At 36.8% G+C, this 27,662-nt stretch overlaps 1 protein-coding gene and 1 pseudogene across 16 annotated transcripts in view, besides 1 other annotated feature; both read right to left on the reverse strand.

Annotated features, from left to right (window-relative positions):
- ARAP2 (ArfGAP with RhoGAP domain, ankyrin repeat and PH domain 2) overlaps window positions 1-27,662 on the reverse strand; it is a 239,381-nt gene that overhangs the window by 52,860 nt on the left and 158,859 nt on the right. For 11 of the 16 annotated variants that reach the window (XR_007096351.1, XR_007096352.1, XR_007096353.1 and 8 more), the window contains 4 exons: window positions 25,105-25,187; window positions 23,988-24,023; window positions 21,953-22,016; window positions 15,426-15,560 (listed from right to left, as the gene is read on the reverse strand). Coding sequence is in view for 6 of the 16 variants with exons in the window: in XM_047449575.1 (XP_047305531.1) it covers window positions 15,426-15,560; window positions 21,953-22,016; window positions 23,988-24,023; window positions 25,105-25,187 (318 nt within the window). In the remaining 10 variants the exon portion in view is untranslated. Of the gene's footprint in view, window positions 1-7,740; window positions 10,016-15,425; window positions 15,561-21,952; window positions 22,017-23,987; window positions 24,024-25,104; window positions 25,188-27,662 lie in introns of those variants that run through there. The other 5 variants (NR_146894.2, XM_047449573.1, XM_047449572.1 and 2 more) reach the window with 1 other exon arrangement.
- On the reverse strand, window positions 6,810-7,463 carry LOC651644 (LIM zinc finger domain containing 2 pseudogene; annotated as a pseudogene).
- Window positions 23,358-23,407: an enhancer, noted in NCBI's record as "active region_21406". NCBI's record gives its function as "activates an Ori minimal core promoter by ATAC-STARR-seq in GM12878 lymphoblastoid cells {active_cell/tissue: GM12878}" and the evidence as "EXISTENCE:reporter gene assay evidence [ECO:0000049][PMID:35858748]".

A 27,662-nucleotide genomic window follows, 5' to 3' on the forward strand; every position in this document is an offset into this window, starting at 1 on the left:
CACAATTCAACAAATGTCTTAAAAGGAAAACTAGCTATAGTTAGTTTTCTATTCCTCCATTCTTGCTAGGATTTTAGTGCCTTGAGTCTCCAATGTTGTTTCCTGAACAAGACTGCAAAAGCTCTGCTGTTCATTCTATCTTAAAAAATCATCTCAACCTGAGCAAAGACTAGATTTTCAACTTTTTGTCCTGTGTACAGATTCTTTAAATTTATGCAGAAAAATAGCAGCTATAAAATATTAGCCCACATCTTTAATGTTCCTACTTCTTCAGAATCTGGCCACCCCTATTCCTCATTCCAGCAACAGCCGAGTTTGTTTTTGTTTTTATTTTTTATTTTGTTTCCCATTGTTTCTAGCTTTCAGTGAAATCATTGTTCTTCTTCAAGCTACTTCATTATGCCATGATTCATTCATTCAATATATGTTTCAGTAGTGAATATGAGATAAGGCACAAGCACTATTTTAGATTCTAGGAATACAGTGGTTAATCTAAGACTTTGCATTTGCAGTGTTATATTCTACTGGAGGTAGATCATTAAAATATATACTAATAAATATGTCAATTATCAGGTGGTGATAAGCCCAATGAAGTAAGAAGATAAAGGGGATAGCAGAAAGATGATGATGCCACTTCATATGGCATGATCAGAGATTGTCTGCCTGGCAAGGAGACATTCAAGGTGGTCAACATGTAGTTAACAGAGTGATCCATGTGTATGTCTGGAAAGAGTGTTGGCCAACAGAAGAAACAGTTAAGTGAAAAGTTCTAAGGCCTTTTCATGCCTAGTGATGCTGAGGAACAGTATGCTTATAGCAAAGTGAGTGAGGCAGAGTGTTTAAAAAATAGCAGGTGGTGCATTGGAACAATCATTTCCAACTTGTATTTATATTTAAATATATTTTAAATATGTATATTCATAAATGCAACATGACATTGATAAAGACATTCCATTTTAACTTTACTGAAATAGCTATTAGGAGAAGAGACATAATCTTTTATTTTAGAAGTTCACTCTGTCTTTTGCTTCCTTCCACATAGTAGCATGCAATTAGGGAGACAAGTTGAGAATCTTTTGCCATAATTCAGAAAAGATATAATCAACGGCAGAGTGTAAAAGTGTGGCCTCTTGAGCTAGACCTCCTGGGTTTGAATGCCAGCTTTGCCAATCATTAGCTGAATAATGCTGCTTAATATCTCTGCACCTGAGTCCCGGACAAGGAAAGGCTGAGGAGCAAGTAAAAAGCTTTAGATATATTTGAGATGCTAGTTGTACATTCAAGTGGAAATGTAAACTACAGTCTGGAACTCAGTGAGTAGATTCAGACTGAAGTTAAACATATGGGTAGTGCAGAAGATATACTATATGCAAAGTTACAAGACTTGATGTATTCCTCTAGGACTTAGGCTACCCAGTAAAGGAACTGAGAAGACTGACTTGTGAGGAAATAGGAAAACCACAAGACAGTAGGATCCTAGAGACCAATACTAGTAGAATTATTACACAAAGGAGGGTGCTTAACTGTGTAAAATGCTGTAGATGGTGATAGGTCAATATGATGACTGAAAACTGGTCATTACAGTCATGAATAAGGTTGTTCTGACCTTGCCAGGAGCAGTTTTCGAAGAGTAATGGGAAACAAAAGGCTGAATAAAGAAGGTTCAAAGAAAGAATGAGAGGTTAAAAAGAGAAGGCAGCAAGTTAGACAAATGTAATGAAGAGTCTTGCTGCAAACAGGAGCAGACAAATGAGGCAATAGTAGAGGGGAAGATGAGATCCTCCCCAGTGAGATATAAATGCTACTTCTATCTTATGAAGGTTGTTGTTAAGCCAGTCAACAGGCTGTAAAATCATGGTTTGGGTCAGCTGGGTTGATTGAAGTGAGTTTGTGTGTCTCTGTAGTCTAGTGTATTGGTTGATTACTCAGTCGTTTAACTGAGAAGCTCTCTTGGTCTTTCTTTGAAAGGTTCAGCAACATTCTTTATCAGATGTTATGAAAGATAGGGCATCGTTGCTGGAAGAGTGGCCTTGATATGAGAACTCGAGTCTTTACAAGCAGACCCCAACAGTCATTTTGCTGAGTCACAATTTTGAATTTTATTCTATATTATTTTAGTGTTCATGTTATTTAGCTAGCTGATTTCTAAGCAGTTACATCTCAACATGTCTTTCTTTTCCTCCATTAATCATATGGTTATTGTAACTTTGATGTGATGCCAGAAAGTTATTCTGAGATTTGGAGCAACAAGAGCACAAGGACTAATTATTTCAAGTACCAGAGGGTATTCTGCTCATCATATATCAATATTAACAAATTAACACAAAAACGTGATGTATTACTTTGCTAAGGTTACCATAACAAAACGCCTGGGTGGCTTAAACAACAGAAATTTATTTTCTCATAGTTTTAAGGGCTGGAAGTCCAAGATCAAGATGTCAGCAGGTTTGTTTTCTTATAAGGTCTTTCTCTTCACTTTGCAGACACTCTCCTTGTTTCCTCACGTGGCCTTTCCTCTGTGGCTGGGCATCCCCAGTGTCTCTTTGTATGTCCTAATTTCCTCTTAGGACACCAGTCAGAATGGATTAGGGCCTGTCCTAATAACTTCATTTTAACTCAACCACCTCTGTGAAGGCCCTACCTCCAAATATAGTCACATTCTAGGGTACTGGGAATTAGGATTTCAACATATGATTTTTGGGAGAAGACAGTTCAGCCCATAACTTGTGGTAATCTGCTTTATTAGTGCATAACATATGTTTTAAAGGATGAAGAAAACATTGCTAGAAGCAGTTTTTTAATTAAAAAAAAATTTAATTTTTATGGGTACATAGTAGGTGTATACACTTATGGGGTATATGAGATGTTTTAATATAGGGAAGCAATGTTTACTAATCACTTCATGAAAAATGGGTTATCCATCCCCTCAAGTACTTTTGTGTTAAACAATCCAGTTATACTCTTTTAGTTATTTTAAAATGTACAATTAAACTGACTATAGGCACCCTGTTGTGCTATCAAATGCTAGGTCTTATTGATTCCTTTTATTCTTTTGTATCCATTAACCATTCTTATCTCATCCCACCACCCTCTCACTACCCTTCCCAGCCTCTGGCTGCCATCCTTCTGCACATCTCAATGAATTCAATTGTTTTGATTTTTAGATCCCACAAATAAATAACAGGTGGTTCACTTAGCATATTGACCTCCAGTTCCACAGATGTTGCAAATAACAGAATCTCATTCTTTTTATGGATGAATCGCACGCCATTGTGTATAAGTACCACATTTTCTTTATCGATTCGTCTGTTGATGGACACTTATGTTGCTTCCATATTTTGGCTACTGCTGCAACAAACATGGGAGTGCTGCTATCTCTTAGATATACTTATTTCCTTTCTTTGGGGTATATATACAGCAGTGGGATTGTTGGATCATATGGTAGTTCTACTTTTAGTTTCTTGAGGAACCTCCCATTGTTCTCCATAGTAATTGTACTTACATTCCCACCAAGAAGTTTCCCTTTTCGCCACAATCTCACCAGCATTTATGATTGACTGTTTTGGGGGTATAAACAATTTTAACTTAGGTGAGATGATTTCTGATTGTAGTTTTGATTTGCATTTTTCTGCCAACTTATGTTGAGCATCTTTTCATCTTCCTGTTTCCCATTTGTATGTCTTCTTTTAAGAAGGGTATATTCAAATCTTTGCCAACTTTTAATCAAATTATTAGATTTTTTCCTGTACAATTGTTGAGCTTGTTATTTATTCTGGTTATTAATCCCTTGACAGTTGGATAGTTTGCAAATATTTTTTGCCATTCTGTGGATTGTCTCTTCACTTTGCTGGTTGTTCTCTTTGCTATGCAGAAGTTTTTAACCTGATGTGATCCCATTTGTCCATTTTTGCTTTGGTTGCCTGTGCTTATGGGGATATTACTCAAGAAATTTTTGCCCAGCCCGTTGTCCTAAAAAGTTTCCTCAATGCACCATGTTGCTGCTGCTAGGGGGTTGGGGAGGAATGGTGTTGATTCAAGACCGTATTTTCTACCCCTTCAGTGCCTCCTTCAGTGATAAGAAGTTAAAACCAGGTACTGTGAGTGCTCATCTGAGTTTTGGTTCATATGAAGTTTGTTTTCTGTGTAGATAGTTATTAGGTTGGTGTCCTTTAGTGAAGGACAGTTGGAAGAGCCTTCTATTACACCGTCTTGATCTGCCTGCTAGAAGCGGTTTTGAAAACCATTAGGGTCAACTAAGATCAAATGAGAGCTAGGAGGACTAATACATTAATAACTAACATTTATTGTATCTCTACTATGCTGCTATATATGTATCTATTTCATATACCTGGCTCGTAATTTGTGTGAGAGTGTGTGTGTGTGTGTGTGTGTGTGTGTGTATAAAACAGTTGTTGAAAAAAGTCAACAAGTTAACATTCCTACTTCTCAGATGAGGACATTTGGGCTCTGAACTTTAACTCATAAAAAGGGTTAAATCTGCAGAGGTATCTCAATTATCAAAACTTTTATATTCAACATATAGTGGCTGTGGCAGAAAAGGGGTAATACAATGTAATTTGTAATATTTTAAATAAAAAATGTTAAAATAATTATACAACTTAAAAACATAAACTTTAATTACCTGATTCATTTCTGTGCTTTGCATTTCCTGATCATTAGAAATTAAATGTGATGATTGTACACATGACAGAAAAATGGTCACATTTTACAACTAATTCTGCCTTAACTAATTGGTAACAGTGAAACAGTAGAAAAACTAACATAACTAACTCCATTTTTTGTTAAAGGGGTCTTTACCTATTCCTGCTCACAGGCTAATTTTAGAGCACTGAGAAAAAATTCAAAGAAAACAGTCATGTAGTTTTCTTAACTAACTCTGTGATTAAAGGAAAAGTATGTAAACAGCTATGTTTTGTTAAAGATTTGCAGAAGCAAACACCGCATGTTCTCACTCACAGGTGGGAATTGAACAATGAGAACACTTGAACACAGGGCTGGGAACATCACACACTGGGGCCTGTCAGGAGGTGGGGGGTTGGGGGAGGGATAGCATTAGGAGAAATACCTAATGTAAATGACAAGTTAATGGGTGCAGCAAACCAACATGACACACGTATACCTATGTAACAAACTTGCACGTTGTGCACATGTACCCTAGAACTTAAAATTTAAAAAAAGAAAAAAAAAAAAAAGAGATTTGCAGAAGCATTGTGACCTGACCATGGACGAAGCAGCTCCAGCTGCCTCAAACTCTGACTAGTATCCAAATTTCTGCGGTTGTGGCGCACATCTTGATCCCAACCCTTTCCTCTTCCTGCTACCCTAAACATAAAAACAGCTTGAAATTTGTACCGACTTAAAATGGTACTTTAGGTCACTAGTTGGCCATCTTCTTGGTTTGCTGGCTTTCCAAAATAAAGTTGCCTTCCTTGTTCCTTGTTCCACCTCCTTAACTTACTGGCTGTTGTGAGGCAAGCAAAATGAGTTTGGGGTTGGTTACAAGTTCATTTGAGTAAGGAAGAATATGTAAGTCTTCATGCAAATTTTGTTAAGATGGTGAAAGTTTTAATCTTCTTCCTAAAGTGATTATTAAAACTTTAAAAAGATGCAAATATCTGCATGCTACAACCTGTTCAAATACATTTAATGCATTTACAAAATTGCTTTTGCATTATATTTTTGAATTAAAAATTATGCAATTCAGCAGCTAATATAGTTACGTTCATAAGTCATATTTTTGCTTCAATTATTTTTGTTTGATTTTGAGTTCTCAGTGACACTTTGATGAATCATCAGGTAATGATTTCTTTAGAAATCAAATATTTAAAAACCATGTCTAATAATTAATTTTAGGGCTACAGAAATAAAATTGAGAGTGCCTTTGAGCACTTTGAGTGCTTTGCTTTTTTGTTTTTTTCTTTCTTTTTTTTTTTTTTTCCTGTGACTAAGCCTTCATTATGCAAGCCTGAGTCCCAACCTCAGGTCTGCACTGGTTGTGGAGGAATTCTCCTCCTTAGAGGTGGAAATAAGCCACCTCTGACCCTACCACCTCCTATTCCCAGCCACACCCAAAGTCTCAACACAGGTTCTGGGCTGGGGGAGGGGAGAACCAAGTGGCCTAGCCAGAGGCAGGGGCCAAGGTTGGATTTCAGAAAGTCCTCTTGATGGAAGTGGGCTCCTGTCCCTGCAGGTAGTGAATGGGGTGGCAGGACTTGCTGGCCCAGTTTGGGCACAGGGATACTACTTGGTTAAATGAATGGTGAGAGATTGAAGGGTGGCCCTGGTCCTGCAGCTCAGGTGGGCTGCTCTGGCTGTGGGTGTACTCTGAGGTGGAGGGTCCCACAGGAATATGTGCAACCTGGTTCCCTGTGGGGAGGGACAGGTCAGGATAGGAGCTCTGGTGACCCCAGACCCTGATTTGCTATCCCTGGAGTTCTGCAGGCTGAAGTCCATGGACCCAGGTAGATGCAGTCACAGGGCATGGGCCCAGGCCTTTCACAGGCTCCCCACCTCTTGGGTCACTGCCTCTGCACAGAAGGAAAGAGAGAAGCCACCATAAAGGAGAGAAAAGACATTGGGGAAGGCAGAGATAAGAGAATAGAAAGGGTGGAGATGATGAGAAAGGAGACAAGGGGAGGACAAGAAGCAGGTAAAGGGAGATGAGGAGTCCAAGAACAGACAATAGAAGTGGGAGGTGGCTGTGAGAAGGCAGTGAGCTGGAGAGGGAGAAGGCAGAGGTCCTCTGGGAGAAGGAAGGGAGGGAGAGAAGGGCCAGGCAAGAGAGCCTTCAGAGTTGAGGTCCCCAGACTTGGGCTAGGCCTAGCGAGACGTGAGCTCCAATGACTTCTTCAGCCTCTTCTTCAGTTCCAGTGGGAAGTTCTTACACACGGGCTTCATGTCAAACTCCACAAACTTGATCTTCAGAGTGAGCCTGCTCTTGCAGGTGGAGCGGGAGAAGCAGTTCACACACATCAGGCCTTGTTGAGGGCCAACACCATGTCACCCTTGACCTCATGGCTGCAGCTACAGCAGATGTCCCAAAGAGCTGGCTGTAGTGGATCTCAAAGTAGGCCAGGCCCTTCTTCTCATAGTGCCAGGGCCCCAGGAATGGCTTCTCACACTCAGGGAAAAGAGCTCTGCATGCCACCACTCTTTGCCCAGTGTATTCACTATGTGGCCTTTGATGGGCTGGCTGCAGTCCCTAGAAATGGGGACAGCATCTTGTCAATGCAGGGCAGGCAGTAGAGTTCACCCTTCAGCTCATGGGCCTCACCAGTCAGCTCCTTCCTACAGTGGATGCAGCTGAAGTGGCCTGGGTGACAGGCACTGTTCCTGAACATGAGGGACTGCTCATGAATGACCAAGTGGCACTGCTGAGGTGCCAGACACTTGTGCCAGTCCCTTGGCCTTCTCATGGTGTGGCAAGGCTGGCAGAGATGCCTATAAACCAGGGGTGGTACTATGCATCTTGTAGGGATGTGGCTGGTCAGCAGCTTCTCGTCAATACAGGCCACAGAGCCTGTAATTGTGCCTGGTTCTCAGCAAGTGGGTCTTTAAATAAATAAAGCTACTTACAGTGACCTGTTTGGAAAAACAATACAGCCAGTTTGAAGTATATATTAAATTCAAATTTTTTTAAAAAGAAAAGAAAGCTAATCTATTTGATCTATTTCACAATAACAACCTTCAACTTCTGAAAATAATAAAGTCACATTCAAGTAGACTTGTAAAACAATTTTAATGTTTACTCAAAATAAATGAGATGTCATCATTAGCCCTTATCTCTCACACTTGAAAAATGGAGACAGTTGTTCAGAATAGAAAGGGAAACAGCTATTAGAGTTTAAGCTCAAGTTTCAAGAAGAATTCAGATAAGGCAGGTAAAAACTCTAGATACTTTTCCACTGTCCAACATCACCAAATATTAATTTCCACATACCTCTTTATTTCATAAAAATATAAATATTTATTAGAAATAGTATGTTTAAGATTAGTTTTTCTTTCTAAATAACATGATTTCTTGCTTTAAAGGAAGATTCCCTAATAGTGCCACCTATTTCATAAACTGTCCTGCAGTTTTGTGCTTTTTAAAAATTCTAATTTACTTTGATTTAAAGAATAAATATCTCATACCCATGGTGAACTATTTTATCACCCCAAAATACAAATGATCCGTATTTTACAATGAAGAAATTCATAGCATCTACCACCACATCACTGTACTATGATTGGACTGACTGAAGTATGGGCCTGTGAATATAGATTGAAAAATAAAAAAGAAATGCTAAAAAAAAAAAACTTAGCTACATAATGTTTAATATCAAAACTCACCAGACAATCCAATTTTAAAGAAACTGATGGAAAAATGCTTCCCCTAACATGAACTATGGTTAGATAGCATTGTCTGTCAGGAAATTCACCAATTCAGTAGCTGATCTTTATGTGGAAACAAAAATAGGGCTTTGTCCTTATTCATAAGTACAGGGAAGAGACCACACCTTTACTTAAAAAAAGAAAAAAAAACCTAGATTAAATGTGACCAGGTAGCCCCCAAATGTATAGTAAACCACCAACTAGCCCCTGGCTCCATAATGGCCATATATTGTATTCTTCCAGTTATTTCTGACAACTCGGAGAAAAACATTACAACCTTAATAATAATTTAAAAAAATCTAAAAATCAAACAAAACAACAGGACCCTGTGGTGATGAATTTTGTTCGTACCAAAAGTATAGTCAGAAATTCTGAAAAAAGACAAAATGCTTGCATACAATGACAGTGCAATCAGCATCCAGGCCAGGTCCTGTGTACACAACCTCTCCAATGCAGTGTAAGTTTCCTCTTAGCAGCCACCAACAATGAGCTCAAACGTAGTGAATCTGTAATGTGGCTGGTTTTCTAACACTATAAATATTAATAAGAGTGGCTAGTGCTATTATTTACATCTGTTGGCCGAATATTACTCTTGAGAAATAAACACTGGACTTTTTCTTAACAAGTGGTTTCTCATTGACAAGTTCTGGTCATTAGTGAACTAGAATGAATCTTAGCTCACTTCCTTGTTTTGCAGGACATTTAACTCCTTGCTTCTTTTAAAAACTCCAGTGGTTTTTAGGCAGCCACTACAATAAATTCTCCCCCCTTTTTCAATTTACTTCCCTTTCTTTTCCCTAAGGTAGAACTTCTGTAAACCTAAAAACATATGGTAATTTAATATACAAGGTTTCTCAAAGTGCAAAATATGTTACAGATAGTTTCTTAGGCTTCATTTAAACACAGCATTTTATACAATACAGTACAGTTTGAGATTTCTGCTCATAAATTATACCACTTAACAGACAACTACTTTAAAAGGACTGACCACCTAAGTAACCCAATGTCTTCTTACACACGTTAATACAATGGAACTTTACAAGGTTTGTTCAGACCAAAATAAAGTTAATCTTACATTCAGTCACATATATACATATTTTTAAATGCTCCTTAAATGCCTAAGCATAGACAAATTTGCCTATCAATAGGCAAATTCTTATGAATTATCTTATAGTTCAGTTTTGGAGTTACACATAAAGATTGCATACAATATTAAAAAAATAATCTGGGGAGCAATTCATTTTATTTCCTACTTCAAAATCTGCTCATCCTGTAATTCTTTTGGAAGGGTTCTTGACCGTTGTAGAACCACATTAAGTTCTTCAATTACCCTTGATGGTAACTTATGATCAGAGTCCAAAGTAGCTTTGCTATTCCTGTCCTCAGTCTTCCTCAATGTCTTTAGGCCTTTATGGCCTTTTGGTTGCCCAAGTGGGGCTTCAGGCTCTGTGTCCTCCAGGCAGTTGAAACTCCGATGTTTTCGGGGTCGATTTCGAAGTTTATCGTCCTTGTGCTCCAGGCAGTGGGCCACCATGGAAGCTCTCTCCTTTAAGCTAGAGTCCACGGACTCTTTATCACACTTTTCACTGAGCCGCAGCCTTTCAAGTTCTGCTCTTGCACTCTAAAAATAAAATTAAATGTCTCACAGGGAAGCAAGATTTGGCACAATTTAGGTTTAGAAAGTGCAATCCACATAAAAGTTGATGCTTCCTATAAAAGATCTCATTTCTATGACTTAGGTCCTAACTTTACTTCGATACAAGTGGCATGTCTGAATTTATATACTAATCTTAGAGCTACAAAATCAACTACAGACAGTCCCTGGCTTACAATGCCTCAATACGATTTTTTGACTTTACAGTGGTGAAAAACAAATATGCATGAAGTAGAAAGCATACTTCAAATTCTGAATTTCGATCTTTTCCCCGGTTAGTGATGCGCGGTAGGACACTCTCTCGTGATGATGGGCAGTGGCAATGAGCTGCAGCTTCCAGTCAGCCATGCACTCATGAGGGTGAAAAACTGATATGGCGTGCTGTGTTGCCAGATGATTCTGCCCCGCTGTAGGCTAATATAAATGTTCTGAGCACGTTTAAGCTAGGCTAGGCTAAGCTACAACATTCCATAGGTTAGGTGTATTTAACGCCTTTTTTATTTTATGTATGTTCACCTTATGGTGAGTTTATTGGTATGTAACCCCATCATAAGTTGAGGAACATCTGTAAAATGCAATCCATGGAAATTCATTTTAACATGCATTCAACATACCACTTCGAAGGTGTCTTTTGGGTTAGTTATTCAAATTGAATCTCACTTCATACTTGCCTCTTCTAACTCACTCCTGCTTAGATATGTCTAGCAAGGTTTCTATTTTTTTTTTCCTTTTGTTTAATTAGTTCACTGAAGTGTGAGCCTTGTACACACATAGGAAATGATCAATAAATATTTTTGAATGAGTAAATGAAGAAAAGTTTAAACAGTTTCCAGTATACAACACTGTTCTATTTTTCTTAATCTCAGTAGATCCAAACATAAATTTATAACAGAAAATTCAAGTGGAATAAAAATATTTTCATGAATATAATGTACAAATAATTTTGAAATTTGGAATTTTCTGGTAAGATTCTGATTATACATCTTAAGCTATATACATTTTTCCTACTCTGAAATTTATAGGAAGAAATGTTTAATATCTAGCTTAATTCCAAAGTTTCATTAGAATATGTTAAAATACTAAGAAAAATAGTGATGGTTGAACAATGTAAATACAACCAATGCCACTGAATTGTATGTATTTTTAAATAAAGTAGAAAATTCCATGATATATGTATTTTATCGCAAATGAAGTAAAAAAAAAACAAGACAGGGTTTATAAACAAACTTTAATCTTGTTAAAAAGTTTCACTCGGCATCTATTACTTGGGAAAAATTAAGGATAAATATAGAGAGGTTTTATATATCAGAGTGACAGTTCTCATCGTCTTTCAACCATCAGCATAAAAACTTTGGGACTCTCTTAGACACAGAATTTAAGGGCCAAGTAATAACATACATAATGCTGAAATTTCAAGTACACTACTGATATGGTTTGCATCTATATCCCCACCCAAATCTCATGTTCAAATGCAGTCCAGTGTTGGAGATGAGGCCTGATAGGAGGTGACTGAATCGTGGGGGTGGGGTTTTCATGAGTGGTTTTAGTACCATCCCCTCTGTGCTGTTCTCCTGAGTGAGTTATGTTGAGATCTGGTCCTTTAAAAGTGTGTAGCACCTTTCCCCCCTCTCTCTCTTGCTTCTGCTCCAGCCATGTAAGATGTGCCTGCTTCCCCTTTGCGTTCTGCTATAATTGTAAGCTTCCTAAGGCTTCCCGAGAAGCCAAGCAGATGCCACCATGCTTCCTGTGAAACCGTGGGCTAATTAAACATCTTTTCTTCATAAATTACCCAGTCTCAGACATTTCTTTATAGCAATGAGGGAATAGACTAATACATCTATAATATTAGCCTAAATTATGTAACCTTAAATGAAGGTGGGGAGATGTGATAGAAGTGAACTGTCAAGAGTTAGGGATGGGAGAGTGAGGAAGAATTTTGCATGAATAATATGGTGTGCCAAATTGCCTTGAATGCTATGAAGAAAGAAAGCCAAGTGCATAGACAATGGGGAAAGAAAGTCATAGTTTATACACTGTACTGTCCTTAAAAGATTAGGCATTCATAATTTAAAAAGAGAGAGAGATAAAGTCTGAAAGTGGAAGAGCAAGAGATGGCTTGCTATAGGCAATGCCAGTTCATGTCACAGGGTGCTGAGGGAAAACCAGTTGTTTGAACGGAAATAATAATCTGAAACAGAGTCTGTCTCTCCCAGTGGCAGACAGAGCAGGTTTTACTTATCATAGCTAGAGAATGGTATAATGGATGGGTTCTCACAGCAAATCATTCACATGGCTTTAGCCTGGGCCTTCATATTTTCCATTAAATCCAGAGGCAAGCCAATGGTTACAGAGGTCTTAGGACACCAAAAAGTAATATGACCAATATGTACAGAGTATACTAGAAACTCTCTTAATTGGCTTTCATTACCAAACTCACTGTATTACTTAATCTTCATGTTGTAAAATACATAATCATATCAATAAATTTAATCATCACAACACTTTAAACGCTTTAAACTCTGTATTATTCATAGTTTAAAGTAAATTGTCTTTATCTTAAGATGCAGAAATAGAAACTCAAAGAAAAAAATTTGCCCAAGTTTGCATAAGTGAGAGCTTGGGAGGGGACCCCAGCTTGGCCTTTCTGAAATCAATGTGCTGCTTTCTACCACATCAAACTGTGCTCAGGATACTAACAACAAAGAGAGGGGCTTATGGGTGGGATTCTATGTCACTATTTTCTGCTTCACTGCATCATCATTCTTTGCTCGTTATTTTTGTTTTACAGATATTGCTGTTAAAATAGCAATTTTGAAAAAAACTAATGAATTATTCCATATCATCTTCCCAGTTCCTTAATATTTTGTCTCAATATATGTTAAAGATATGCTAGTCATTATTCTAATAAAGTTTCATGTATAATGTCACTTAATCACAACAGCACTATAAGGTGGGGGCTTTTATTAATCCCACATGCTTACAGATAAAGCAGCTTAGAACGATGGCGTTAAAGTAAGATATCCATGATTTTACAGGGACTCAGTAGGAGGACCACAGGTAGTATCTAGTTTGTGCATTCTTCAGCATTCTGTTTGCCTCTTCATGTGTGATTTCCTCGGCCAACAACTTGGCATATTCAGCTGGCTCACTACTAATTTCCCCAATTAACTTGAGAAGTCACTTCCACCATGAAGCCTTCCCTACCTGGATAAGGTATTCTCATATGACTTTCAATAGGACTGAATGAAAGCCAGGCTTAGCCACAAAATTTATCAATCTGCCAACAACTTCTTTGAAAAATAATTCTTCTTGAATATATTCATTGTTATGACTGATTTTTATTAATATATAATACTTAATTTTTTTTTGAGTTTTTTTTTAATTTTTTTTCTTTTTTTTTTATTATACTTTAAGTTTTAGGGTACATGTGCACATTGTGCAGGTTAGTTACATATGTATACATGTGCCATGCTGGTGCGCTGCACCCACTAACTCGTCATCTAGCATTAGGTATATCTCCCAATGCTATCCCTCCCCGCTCCCCCCACCCCAACACAGTCCCCAGAGTGTGATATTCCCCTTCCTGTGTCCATGTGATCTCATTGTTCAATTCCCACCTATGAGTGAGAATATGCGGTGTTTGGTTTTTTGTTCTTGAAATACTTAATATTTTAACTCACTTTTCATTTTTAAAACAAAGGGTCAAAAATGGTTAGTTATTTTGTAAATATATTTTTTAAAATTTTTATATGAATCTAATATTATGGCAGATATTTTCATGGTTTATATGAATTTTTTTAAAAAAATTTCTATTATTGCCTTATAAAGTAAGTTTCATTATGTTTTTCCAAAATTAAACATTTAAAAAATGTCTTTGCCAAATTTATCAAATCACCAAACTACCTTATATTTACTAATCTTACAAAGAGCTTGGTTTATTTTAAAGACTCAGAAATTTTCCAGTAATTGAAAATGCATGTAATTCTTTTAAAAGCTTGTAAACACTTTATAGTTTCAGTTCTTCAGTTTTCCTATCTTAAATATGTTAAAAATTGTCTCTGAAATTGTGGATTTGGGATAAGGCTAAGAAATTATTATACAGTCAATCATCATCTATATTAGATACTGGTTAATGTATTTTGATCCCAATAATTTATTTTGCTTTGCCGATAATTGATCTGAAGGCAATGTCAAAAGGTTCTACAGTCACTGTAGGGCGTATCTCTCCCTATGTTAGTTTCATCTGTTCAGCCTGTGTTCCCTGTCCTGGGTTCCTGGGAAATGTAACTCTTAGAATTTTAAGATACTTGATTAGATAAGGAACTCTGCAGAGCGGTTTATTACCTAAAAAAAAACAAAAAAAAAACCCCAAAAAAAACAAAAAAAAAAACTAGGTACAGAATGGAAGAAATGACAAGGTCATGATTTCTTGGAGACATATTCCTTACTTTGATTACATCAGGGCAGAATGACTAAGCAGTAAACAAAGGACCATTATTTTTGAAGCTTTTCTCTTTTAGAGAAGGAATATTACAGTGGGATAAATGTTCAAGAAAGGATATGCACAAAAAGCTTAAAAATCTGATCACTAGGTTAAAATGGCTTTCGTCTTTCAAAAGTTATTTCTGTTTGGAGAGCAAAAGATTTGAACAGCTTAATTCCAAATTTAGGCTCAAGGAAGATATAAGAACACCTTCTAACTGCTTTTCTTTTTGCTTTCAGAGACTCAATTAAGACACTGAAATATGTGTTGGTCCCAAAATGGCTAATGAGTTTTGAGAGTAAACAGCCTATGTTCTTTGCTGAAGAGGCCAAACTTCATGTCAAGATTGATGCCGCTTATGATCTCCCAACCCTCAAGGTGAGAAGGAAAACAAACAGTAGCTTTCATGAAAGATGCCAAATCTTCTTTCTTGATTCTCAGGGGTCATCTTGTAGGTCCTTAAATTAACTGAGAGACCCCATCAGTTCCCAAAGCACTGGAATGTGATTATATTACTAGAAAGTTTAGTTACCAGGGCTCCAGACATATTCTGCTATGGGCTTACTCTGAAGGTGTTTTAAGTAAGCTTGTAAAACGAATTTGAAGTTGTGATTTTACCACCAGAATTTCTATACGCATATTTTAAATTGGCTACTTTAGAGGTAAGAAAATAAGTAGTATTGTGCATATGTGATTGGGTGGTCAATGATATTAAAATAAAAGGTATAAGGTTATTCATACTGTTTTCTTGCTGTATGTGATTATTACCATGCTTTACAAAGTGATTATTATTGTGCTTTTGAAGCCAATGAAGTAATTAATGACCTAATCACATTATGACACAGGAAAATATATTCTATAATTGAATATAAAACAAACAAAATCCTAACCTACCTCAATATTTTTCCGGGCCAAGGTTGCATTCCCCTCATGCTGTATAGGAATCAGAGGCAAACCTCCAATTTTGGGATTTTTGGTTATTGAACGTTTTCGTTCCTTTCCAGCTGGTGGCCATATATCATATTCATGCTGTGGAAACACAATTTCTTGCTGTTGGTGTGTGATTTTATTATGTGGTATACTATGTCATAAAGCCACTTGGTTTCTTTCCCACATATCCACATCAAATGATCTGATTTCCATGAGAATTCCATTTGTGATTATGATGTTGACTCTGGTGGCAGCATCGCTCCAGGACATGAAACTCTTAACTGAACTGAGCTTTGAGGTCTCAGCTCAATTTCTAAGTTTCAAATACATGCCTTCTATACTACTTATCAAACCAAAAGGGGAAAAGTATTTGAGGCAACTGGCAAATCTCTTTGTGGAAGAAAAATAGTACACTTGTCTACATTGCTAGGCACTGTAATCTAAGTAACTATACATTTACACCAAATATGATTTCAGTGTAAAAATAATTTCATCTTATATATCCCAAATCAACCTAAGGCATGACTATCAGAAAAATTAGCCTAACTTTATGACCTCTTGAAAAATGTTACTATTTTATCTAATTGAATTCCAAAGAAATATAATCTTTTTACTCAGACATTTCAACATCTTTACTGAAAATCATTGTACAACGGAGAGTGGGGCACATTTGTTCTCAAATCATTGACTATATATTCTTGCCTTCTAAATAATTATACATATGACTGGAGAAAGGTTAATTTGGATGGGGATAAATGTTCACAGGTAAAAATATAAGCTCTGGAGTGATTCATCTCTGATATATACATATAAAAAATTCTTTAAAGAATTTTGTACTCCCCAGGGTAGATTAACTTTCCAGAATTTGGAAAAAGTATATTGATTTTCAAACAACAATCTATGACGTAAACACAGAATACCGAGTATAAAATGAAAAGTTTACAGATATTGTAATGAAATGAAAACCATTTAGTAAACTATATAGCTAAATGCCTACTCTTTATTTCTCTCAGTTCTTAAGCAACAGATTATTGTTCTTAGGTTGCAGCTCTTATTTTAATGTGTTGCTTTATGGCAAAGAACTCATTTAAACAAATATTTACTGTCTACCTACCATATAATAACAGCTAATTTAACTAAGGGGCAAACTGCCAAGCTGTATGTTTATCAATGTACATATAATTTTCATTTATTCCTCAATGATCTTACAGTGCAGATCCTTTAATGTGCATCGTATCTACCCTTGAATGTTAGTGAAGCATTTACCTTAGTTCCGCAAATCTATAATGGTAGGTTATACAGTATTTCAATTGGAAAGTTATAGCTTCACATTATTTTTATGACACAGTACCAAACATGGTTAAAAAAAGCATATTATATAATTGTGATGTTCCCAAAACATAAACCTGGGAGAAAACTGACTGAGAGGGAATTAGGCAATTTTGTGAATTACCCTTACACTTTCAAATCACTGATGTGTAGTGCATACGCTAAAATATATTTTGAAGAATCTAAGAGCAAATGCGGTTCCCAAATCCATATTTCTCTTTTTCTGAAATAATATACAACTGTGAATACCAGCTAACTCTCCTTGAATTGAACTAAGAGGCATTTTTTTCTACTTTACATCCAAGTGATGTGTTCTGATTTAACATTTGTAGTTATTTGTAAATGACTTCAAAAGTCATACAGCACGGATCATATAGGTGAGGATCAAACTTTCATTTTATAACCAAAGACCACACCTAAACATCTCCATTTCTGCCTTCCATTTTCTAACCTTTGCCTATCTTTCCAGCTAACTAAATTTAGTTTCATTCATTTTAACTATTCTTTTCACTCCTTGAGACCTCCAATCCACCACCACTCTTCTCACAACATTTTTTACCACTTCCCTCATTGCCTGGCTTTCATTTCATGGTCAATCAGTAAACTCACTTCCTTGTAAATATCTTCAAGTTCAAATTTTATCTGATTACTTATTTATTTTCTTGCTCCTTCGTTCTCTATCATACTTGCCTGGCAAAGCCCCAAACCTAATTAAACACAATTCAGCTTATTTCATGAGTGCCTGCCAGTTGATGGAGGACAAAAACAAATTACTCTGTACATCCATCACACTTTAAATTTAACCTTAAATTTTAAGAAACCATTCAGCACTGCCTTGAAGTTCTACCATGGGACAACTGGTTTCCTCACTCTCTGAAGATTACTTCTCTCCTTTGCCTCTGCCCTTACACTTCAAAAACCCTGCCTGCGTCACATGTGGTGATCTCACTGATTCAATCCAACAATTATTACTGATCATTTAAGAAAATACTCCCATCATGAAATGTACCAATCTCCTTGCATCTATAGTCATCTAAGTGAGTTTACTTCTTGCAATCAGTATTTGCTGATTGCAAATAACTTTTATCCAGTCATATCTATAATTGCTCAGCTCAATGGGTCATAAATTTAGGTGGTCAATAATTTGAGAAGAAATGTGCCACAGTCTCTGCTGTATGATGATTTTTAATAATGAATAACCATGCACTAGATCATATCATTTCATGTCTGTTCAGGGCCTCTGCTGGTTTAATAACATCTCTCCTCTTCTGTCCATTTCTTCTTCCTGATTGGATTGTCTTCATATAATGTATGCAAGTACACACTCCCCCATCTTAAAGATAAATCAAAACCCCCAAACCTACCTTCACCTCTATCTAGTCACAACCTCATTTAATTACATAAGAAATTACTTGAGAGAATTTTCTGTACCCATCACCTGGTTTTCCTCCTTTCTTACTTCTTATCACTGCTTTTGCTGTTTTTTTTTCTTCTGCCTACGCTTTAAATTTTGAAATGTCCCAGGGCTTATTCCTCCATTCTCTCTCTCTCCCCAACCCTCCTCCATGCTTCCCTCTCCACCTCCATGCTTCCCTCTCCACCTCAAACCTTCTCCCCCAGGCATCTCATCTAATCCTATAGCTTTGAATATAATCTAAGTGCTGACTTCCCCCAAATTTACATTTTAGCCCCAAACCTGTGCCTGAGTTTTTGATCCACACATCCAACCTGCTGCCCAGCATACATATCTGTGTATCTAATAGGCATCTCAAATTTTATGTGGCCAAAATAGAACTCTCCATTTCCTTCTACATCTCTGATGATCCCACTTACATCTGACAGTTGCCAAAAAACTAGAATTTTTTCTGATTTCTACTCTTCCTCTCAAATTGCAATAGCCAATTGACACAGGAGTTAAGAAGGAATTACTAAGCAGATAGCAAGGGCATGGGAGTCCTTGGTAAGGCTTTTCTTTTTAATGAAAAGCAGTCCCAAGCCATCTTCTAACAAAAAGCAGCCTGCAATCTAGGAGCTTGCAGGGGTGAATGCTGGCAGGAACTAAGGACTAGACATTTTCAAAATGGTGGCTCCATCTTCCCTTCTCTGCCAGCCAAATGCATTGTAAGGAGAGGACAAGATGGTGTCAATCAACTGGAAAGCCCATTTGCATAAGAAGATTAGGGTGGGGGTGACCAGACTTACCCATACACTATGTAAACGCCATATCTGATCGAAACAATCTGTGAGCCCTTCGTAAATCAGACACAACCTCCTCAAACTGGACTATAAAACTGCGCATTCTGCACTAGCTGGTACTTTCTGCTTGGAGACCTCTTCCTGTTATAGAGGAAGCTGTTTCTCTTTCTCTTCTCTTCTACCTATTAAACCTCCTGCTCCTAAACTTCTCGTGTGTGTCTGTGTCCTAAATTTTCCTGGCATGTGACAAGGAACTCTAGGGTATATACCACAGACAACGTAGTCACTTCGCAATAATTCCAAAAGCCTTATTGGCTCTACCTTCAAAATATTCCTGAATCTTAATTTGTCTTACCATATTCATTACCACCCTAGTCTGAGTTGACATCTTCTTTCCTATAGCTGTTCATCCCACTTGCATCTTTGACCCTCTACACTGCAGACTCAATGAAGTGAACAAAATAATTTTTTTCAATTAAAATTAGATTATATCCTTCCCTTGTTTCAAACTATTAAGCAGGAACTACATAATTTGTCACAAGCCTTCCTCATCTCTAATATCTTACCTTCATGATGTTTATAGAATAAAACAAGACAGTGATGATGTCTCAGGACATACCCTGCTGGCCCCATTCCTGAATGATCCTTCCTGGAAGCCTGCATGATACCCCTCTCATTTCAGACTGGTCTCAGGTCACCTGTCACCTACTCAGAAAGCCATTTCCTGAGAACCTTCCTCAATTAGTGCCTTCCTTATGTCAGTCACATGCTCTCCTTACCTGCCATATTTTATGATTCTCCTATTTTATCACATGGATATCCATTTGAAATTTTATCTGATTACTGATTTTCTTACCCTATTTCCTATTTTAGAAATACTAACTAAACATGTACTTGACATACAAGTCAAATATGATGAAGAGTCCTTCTTTTCATGGAGTTTACATTTTAGTAAGAGAGGCAGACATGAAATAGCTAATTACATTTTTTTCTTTACTAATTAGTGTCACAGTGGAGAAGTACGGGATGCTAAGGGTGATAGCCTGAAGGTCTAAGTCATCTGAAGGTCAGGAAAAGTTTCTCTGAGAATGGGATATTTAAGCTGAAGTCTAGATGACTTCTGAGGCAGGGGTGTGGAAAGGATGGAGATTACAAAAGTACTCTGAATACCAAAAGGAGCTCATTATAGGGGGTGTTTACTGTTAATTCGCATACGTGTTTGTGTGTATGTCTACGCTTTTAACATATATATAAATATTTGCTATTTTGCTGTTTCCCTACAGAGATGAACCATAAATCCTTAAATCCAAGAAGGCTTCTGTGTTTATCTTAAGGGAGGACCTGAATAATACCAAGAAGTAAAAAGAACAGAGGAAAGATAATTAGGCTAAATCTTTGAGACGAGGACTAGGATTAAAACATGAGACAGTAAGAAATAACCTTGTAGTGAGAGTAGGCTTTGCTTCCTGCATTCATTGTTTAAATTTCAACTGCAGAGTCTACTGACTCCAATTATAAAAACAAAAACATCAGTTTAGTTGTGCCACAAATGACACTGTAACAGCTTTAGACTCTATAGTCCCAACTTTACCAAAAGACTTCAAATCCAGTCTTTTGTTTTTCCTAAAGTAGAACTCGATGTGGCCTAGCACAGTGGCTCATGCCTGTAATCCTAGCACTTTGGGAGGCCAAGGTGGGCGGATCACCTGACGTCAGAAGTTCGAGACCAACCTGCCCAACATGGTGAAACTCCATCTCTACTAAAAATACAAAAATTAGCTGGGCACGGTGGTGCACGCCTGTAATCCCAGATACTCAGGAGGCTGAGACAGGAGAATCACTTGAACCCAGGAGGCAGAGATTGCAGTGGGCTGAGATCATGCCACTGCACTCCAGCCTGGGCAACAGAGCAAGACTCTGTCTCAAAAAAAAAAAAAAAAAAAAAAAGTTGAATATCTGAATTTTAATAAGTTACAAAAAGAAGAAGAAAAGCCTCTAAAAAGTTAGCAGCCAGTCTCTTGTGCACATGTTTTTCCAGGTAGTAATGGTAGAGAGACAGGCTGAGAAGAGCTGTGTTTATTAACCACTGAAAAAGTTAATACATTAAATGAACAGAGAAAACTATTTTCAGAACAAATAAGAACTAGATTTTGGAGTGAGCTAACTTATTTCTTATAAGGGAAACAGGAAAATACCTCCTCAGTAATAAAGAATGGCAACTTAATCGTTACCAGTGAATTTCAATGCTCCATGAGAAGCATTATTGGGAATTTAGCTAGACAAGGTTGGGAAACAAACCAGTCCAATTAATGGGACTATATAACTGTTCCTCAAAAGGGTAAGTCCTGCTCTAGGGAGGAAAACAAATACGGAACTGAGTATAAGCATTGGCCTCAGACATCCCTGGGTTTAAACTACTAATATATGGTCCTGAGCAAACAACCAAACATTTGTTTTATAAAACCAAAAACATCTTGTATGGTTTGCTGCAAGGAATACATGAGTTATTCTTATGAAGTATCTAGCACACAATAGTTATTAAAGAAAAGTAGGTTCCTGTCCTTGTTTCTGGAAAGGCAGGGGTGGAGAGAGTGGGAGAACAAGAAGGGAAATAGAACACTTTTCTAAATGAAGGTCTATGTGGGATTGTGGTAGGATGACAGCTTAGAAAAGTCCCTCTTTCTTACACGACCATTTTAAAGCAACACACCTCACCTAAGCCAAGGAGGCTGTGGGGCTGGCAGAAAAGACGCTTTAATGGAATAAACTCTCTTTCAAAAGGTAATGAATAAATTTGAACTTTAATATACTATTTTAAAAACTAAGAATGAGAGAATCAAAGTTTATGCCAATTGTACATACATTTAAAATGCTTATTAAAAATTCTTTAGAAATCACCATCACACTAACATTTCCTGTAAACAAAGTTATTATACTCTACTGGATAGTTCAAACAAATCTCGTACCTGGGCAATAAAGATACTGGTCATCCACTCCGTCTGAGTTCGTGAACTATCACAACACAGGTGCCTGCAAAACGAGGTTTATAAACTATGTCATTCAAAAAGACAATTGACTGTTCTCTAGTGTATCTGCTGAGTGATTTGGTGATCAAAAATCTCTGGGTCTCTCCTGATTAATGACGTAATGCAATCACAAAAGTGGAACATTTCAGTACAAGTTGTTTTGGTCTTCTGCTAAATGTACAATACGAAGTTATAGTGTAAATATATTGGTTTAAACAAAATACAACTGAAGCCTTTGGTAAGTGCTGCAAAATGATGACCAATATTTTTCGGAAAGGCAGAAAGATTTATTTCATTTTGCCTTTTCAAGTACCTGATGGTAAAACACTGTATTCCACTAAAATTCTGAGCCTGAGAAGAAAAATATGTGCACATCCTCATAAGAGCAGATCTTTCTTTTTAAAAGGCTGAGACATAGTCTCCATCATTGTAATTGTAAACACTAATACCCACAGATTCATAAAAAATGAAACTACATGAAAAACCACTGCATATCCAATAACAGTGATTAAGTAACCTTTTATTGAAAGACTAACTAAAACAGAGACCTTGTCCTGAAGGCTCCTGTAGTCTATTAGGGGAGCTAAGCATATAGACAAATAAATTACAACACAGTGAGAAAAAGCAAAAATAAAACTGAGTGCAAACATAGAAACCACAGACTTGGGGATGAGGAGAGGGTTGTTCTTTATAAGAGGAAAATTTTATAATTGATATTGGAAAGATCTAATGGGCTTTTCAAAGTAATTGTATTCTTTACATTCCTGTATTATCAAAATAATTTACCTGAAAAATGTTGAAAATGAAATTTCTAAAAAATCTGTGTTTTCTTCATCAGCACCTCATGAAAACATTGTCTTTCCCTATTACCATGTCCAGGCCACAAACCATTCCTGCCACAAATCATTTTAATTCCGTACCCTTGTTTATAAAATACTGTAGGTGCAAAGAAGAAATAATGATCAGAGGTGAGAGCTATTAGATAAGGCTTTGGGGCATTTGAGCTATGATTTCAAAGAACATTGACAGTTGAGTTGGTTGAGTCATCAGGGGGAGAATGAAAGTATGACAGGAAGGAGAAGTGAAAAGTATGAACAAAGGTTTAGTAGAGGGACCATGTACATCACACATGCAGATCTGAAACAGCAAGGAATGCGTGGTGAATAAAGATAGATGATTGTTTTGTCATTAAGTGAAAAAGAAAAACTGTGGGAGATGAAGTTGGTGGAGTCATATATAGCCTTGCATGCCACGCAACAATTCTGTGCTTGATCCTATAGGTGAAAGAATTCACAGAAGTTTTAAAGCAGGAGAGAAACATGGTACAGCATAGAAAATACTCCTCAGTGGAGAGGTGGAGAATGTACGACAAAACAAAAGCAAAGAAGAGGCCTGAAGAGCACTTAGGACTCCTGGAATAATCCAGGCAGATCAATGAAGGCCAGGCCCTCAGGGTAGAGAGGTGTAGGTGGAGGAGGGGCACAAGGAAGAGGCAGATCTCGTGTGGCTCAGTGACCGATTAGACACAGGGAGGTGAAGAGAAGGAAACATCTAGTACAATCTCTAGAAATACTGATGGATACTGGTAACAGTATATGGCAAAAAGTACATATATAGAAATAGGGTTGAGAGCGGGATATATGTTTTTCTTAAATCTGATTTTAGCTAGTTCTTATTCTGTTTTAAAACTATCACCTACTTATCTCATAAAAGCTGAATTCCACACTCATAATAACTATGGAAGAAATCAGGCGTAGTTTCACTTCAGAGGCATTGCCAAATAGGATACATGGGACTTGAACCCTGATACAAATCTGTTTTCCTCTTCTTAGGCTCAAAGTCTTTACAAACAACCCTAATTTCACTTAGGCAAAACACTTTCCGTCTGTAGTTCTATCTGCAATTACTGAAATTATTCTTTTCCTGAAATTGTCACCAATATATTATGTCCAAAAGTTGTCAGCTGTTAACTTACCAGTGATGTTTCTCAGAATATGCGGTCAATCCCCAGCTGCATCACATAGAAAAAAAAACACACATAAATTAAAAATAATACATTTTACAAGACAGAAAACAGGATTAGATGTTAAGGAGATGAGATTTAATGGTGGGAATGCATAGACTTCCACAAGTGGTGATTCAATGTGTTGGACTTAGCTAGAGGTGAATGCTAAATGCTAAGGGATCTGGCTACACATTTATATAGAAGGAAGGAGGCTTGTGATGATATGGGGCAGAGAGGAGATGTCTCTGAGAAGATACTCTTAACTGAATAAGGCCAAATGTCTACGAAAATGACTGAAATAAGATAATATAGAGAGATGTACGGTTACTGGGGGAAATTAAAGAACATGCCTATTAAAACACAGGTATATGCTCTAGGCTTAGAAACTGAGTATGAAGGCAAAAGTGAAGAAATTTTCAGCAGCAAAATCTCAGAAGCAAGCACATATAAATGATGTTCATGATACTAAGTATTAGTGCAAACATTTATTAGCTAATCAAAGTAACCTGTGATAAGAAATTGTGGTGTAAATCAAATGCTGGGGTACATGAAGTGTTAAAGAGGCACGCAATCTGTAGGAGGCACCCACCTCCTCTAGCGCTTACATGCTATGATGGGTTTTCAGTACCAAAGTCAGCATAGTAAAAAGGGAAAATTACAGAGCCAGAACCAAAACATTGTAGAAGCCAAGCATCAGGAAGCTGGAGGGCAGCATTTGCTTTCCTGTGTTGTAGACTTGCCTGAGATGCCCTCAGGTTGTGATGTGACAGCTCAGGGAATGAGATGCAGAGGAAGCCATGTACTTCCCAGTAGACAGAGCCTCCCGGGATTTCTTACTTTACACAGAGAGATTGCAATCACCAAGGAGCTTGGTCTCAGTCTCAGTGGGAACATCGTCCCTCCTTATCTACTCATACAAGTTCCTTGATCTGCCATAAGAACCCTGTGACAGGGGAAGCAACTTAAAAAAAATAGCCTAAAACTTACTTTATAAAAAGTTAGACTAATGCCACTGATCCCTAAATCCTTAAATAGACATATTTTTCCCATAAGTTTTTCCTTTCAGCACTTCCCTTTCAAACTTTACCTTGTTGGAGGCTTCATTTTCTTTTTCACTCCACGATAAAACTTCATGGAACTGAGAGAAAACATCTTGTCATGTTTACTACTCTGTAAGGTAAAAAAATAATTTGTAATTAAATGGATTTACACATTTCCTTACATTTTCTTTGAGCATTAATGATTGGGTTTAGAATTGTTTAGTTTCTCAGTGTTTCATAAAACAAACATTTCATGAGTTTAGTAAATGAAGACTCTTTGGATTTACAATGAAGACTCTTAGGATTTACAATACAATCAATACATATTAATAATGTTGGATATATTCATGTTATATACTTGTACACATGTATATACAGACATGCACATGGCTCTATAATTCTTGATTCAAAAACACTTGAGGTCAGATGTGCATCATGTCGTGGTTAATACTGAGTGCAAACTTGATTAAATTGAAGGATGCAAGGTATTGTTCCTGGGTGTGTCTGTGAGTGTTGCCAAAGGAAATTGACATTTGAGTCAGTGGACTGGGTGGGCACCATCTAATCAGCTGCTAGTGTGGCTAGAATAAAGCAGGCAGGAGAAGATGGAAGAGCAGACTTGCTAAGTCTTCCGGCCTTCATCTTTCTCTGTGCTGGATGCTTCCTGCCCTTGAACATCAGACTCCCAAGTCCTTCAGCTTTTGTACTCTTGGACTTACACCAGCAGTTTACCAGGGGCTCTCGGCCTTCAGTCACAGATTGAAGGCTGCACTGTTGGCTTCCTTACTTTTGAGGTTTTGGAACTCGGACTGAGCCACTACTGGCTTCCTTGCTCCTCAGCTTGCAGACGGCCTATTGTGGGACCTCACCTTGTGACTGTAGGAGTCAATATCCCTTCATATATACATCTATCCTATTAGTTCTGTCCCTCTAGAGGACCCTGACCAAATCACATCAGAAGTGATTTTTCATATTTTAAAAATATAATACAATGCATATGCCATATGTTTTGTAACTCCCCATCACCAATGTTGACTGGGGTAGTACCTTGTATTCAAAGATATTCATATTTTCAAGATAAAGGCTATATATATCTTCGTGTTGTTTTGGGTCAGATTTTGCCACCAAATGAGCTGGGATTTTCTATACTGTTTGGATTTCGGAATTATGGAAAACAGACTCGTGAATATATATGAACACATATTGAGGTATCTCAAAAATCCAAATTAATGAAAATTATCCTAATTAAAATAGACTATTAAAAATTTACAGTTGCCCTAGAGCAATTATATTTTCTTTACACCTCTCGCAATACTCAGCAGTCAAATTAGAAAAGCGAGGAAAATATGCTCATAAAATTAAAAATTAGTTTCATAAAGCAAATAGGTTAGGAGGATATAACAGAAATACAGGGGAAAAGTAACCAGGAAGATGATCAGAAATAATGCTGTGGTGACCAAAGGCCTGGAATTTACATGGTGAATTTATTCCTAATCACTATTATCAGTAAGTTCACTATTATTATCATAGTAGATAATATGTTTTAAAAAAACCATATTTTGAATTTTTCCCCTTATAGCTAGATTTCTAGGAATTTAACCACTGAGTCATAGGCTAAGAATATGATTCAGAAAAAAATCTTATCTACACGGATAGGGTACATTTATTTACCCTATCAAAAACACTAAGGTAATACAAATGTTAAGTGTGAGCGTGTATTTATGTATTTGCTAGCCATCGGCAGTTTTGATGCGGTGAACAGTTTATCCATGTCTTTATTTGTTTGTACTAGTTCTTTATGTATTTAATATGAAATTGCCTTGTCTTTTTAAATTAAATATTCTATCCAAATTGCTCTTTGCCTTAACCTAGCTCATTGTTTACCTTATTGTTAATAAGTCAAATATACTGGTCTTTTGGGGGTTGGTTTCTTAACGTTTGCTTAAATTTAAAGTGTTCCCCCATAGCTGATAAATATTCAGTTCCATGGTCTTGCAGCTTTAAGGGTTGCTTTTTTTAGGATTTAAATCTTTTGTCAATCTGGAATACATTTTTTTATATATACAGTATAAATGATAAGTTAGACAGAAATTTTTTTGTTGACAATTATTCTACCCCAATTTATGGAGCAAACATCCCTTTAGACATGCACTTTTTGTGACATATTAAAATTAAATTCTAACATAACATTTTTTACCTAAATTTATGGCACTGCACCATTGCTCTTTGTTCACTTTTATACAAGGATTATAATATTTAAGTATTTTAGTTTTACTGTATATCTTAATAGTTGGATGGCAAAATAACTCAAATCCATTTTACTTATCTCCCAAAATGTCTTCAAATTATTCTTATCTATTTATCCTTTGAGGTGAATTGTCAAATATTTTTGAAAAGTTATAAAAGTAATTTCCTTTGCAAACTTGAAAATAATTGCATTAAACCTATAAATCAATACTAGCAGATTTAACATCAATTTTACTCCTATCAGAGAAGTCTATAGTTTTCTTCTCATAAGCTTCCACTTCTTAAGGCTGTTTTCAAGTAGTTTATGCATTTTGTCTTTTAAATCCAGCTGGGGACTGATCTTTGGATATTGATTCTA

This window comes from Homo sapiens, chromosome 4 (genome assembly GCF_000001405.40).
Source record: "Homo sapiens chromosome 4, GRCh38.p14 Primary Assembly".
In the NCBI taxonomy this organism is placed as follows: Eukaryota; Metazoa; Chordata; class Mammalia; order Primates; family Hominidae; genus Homo; species Homo sapiens.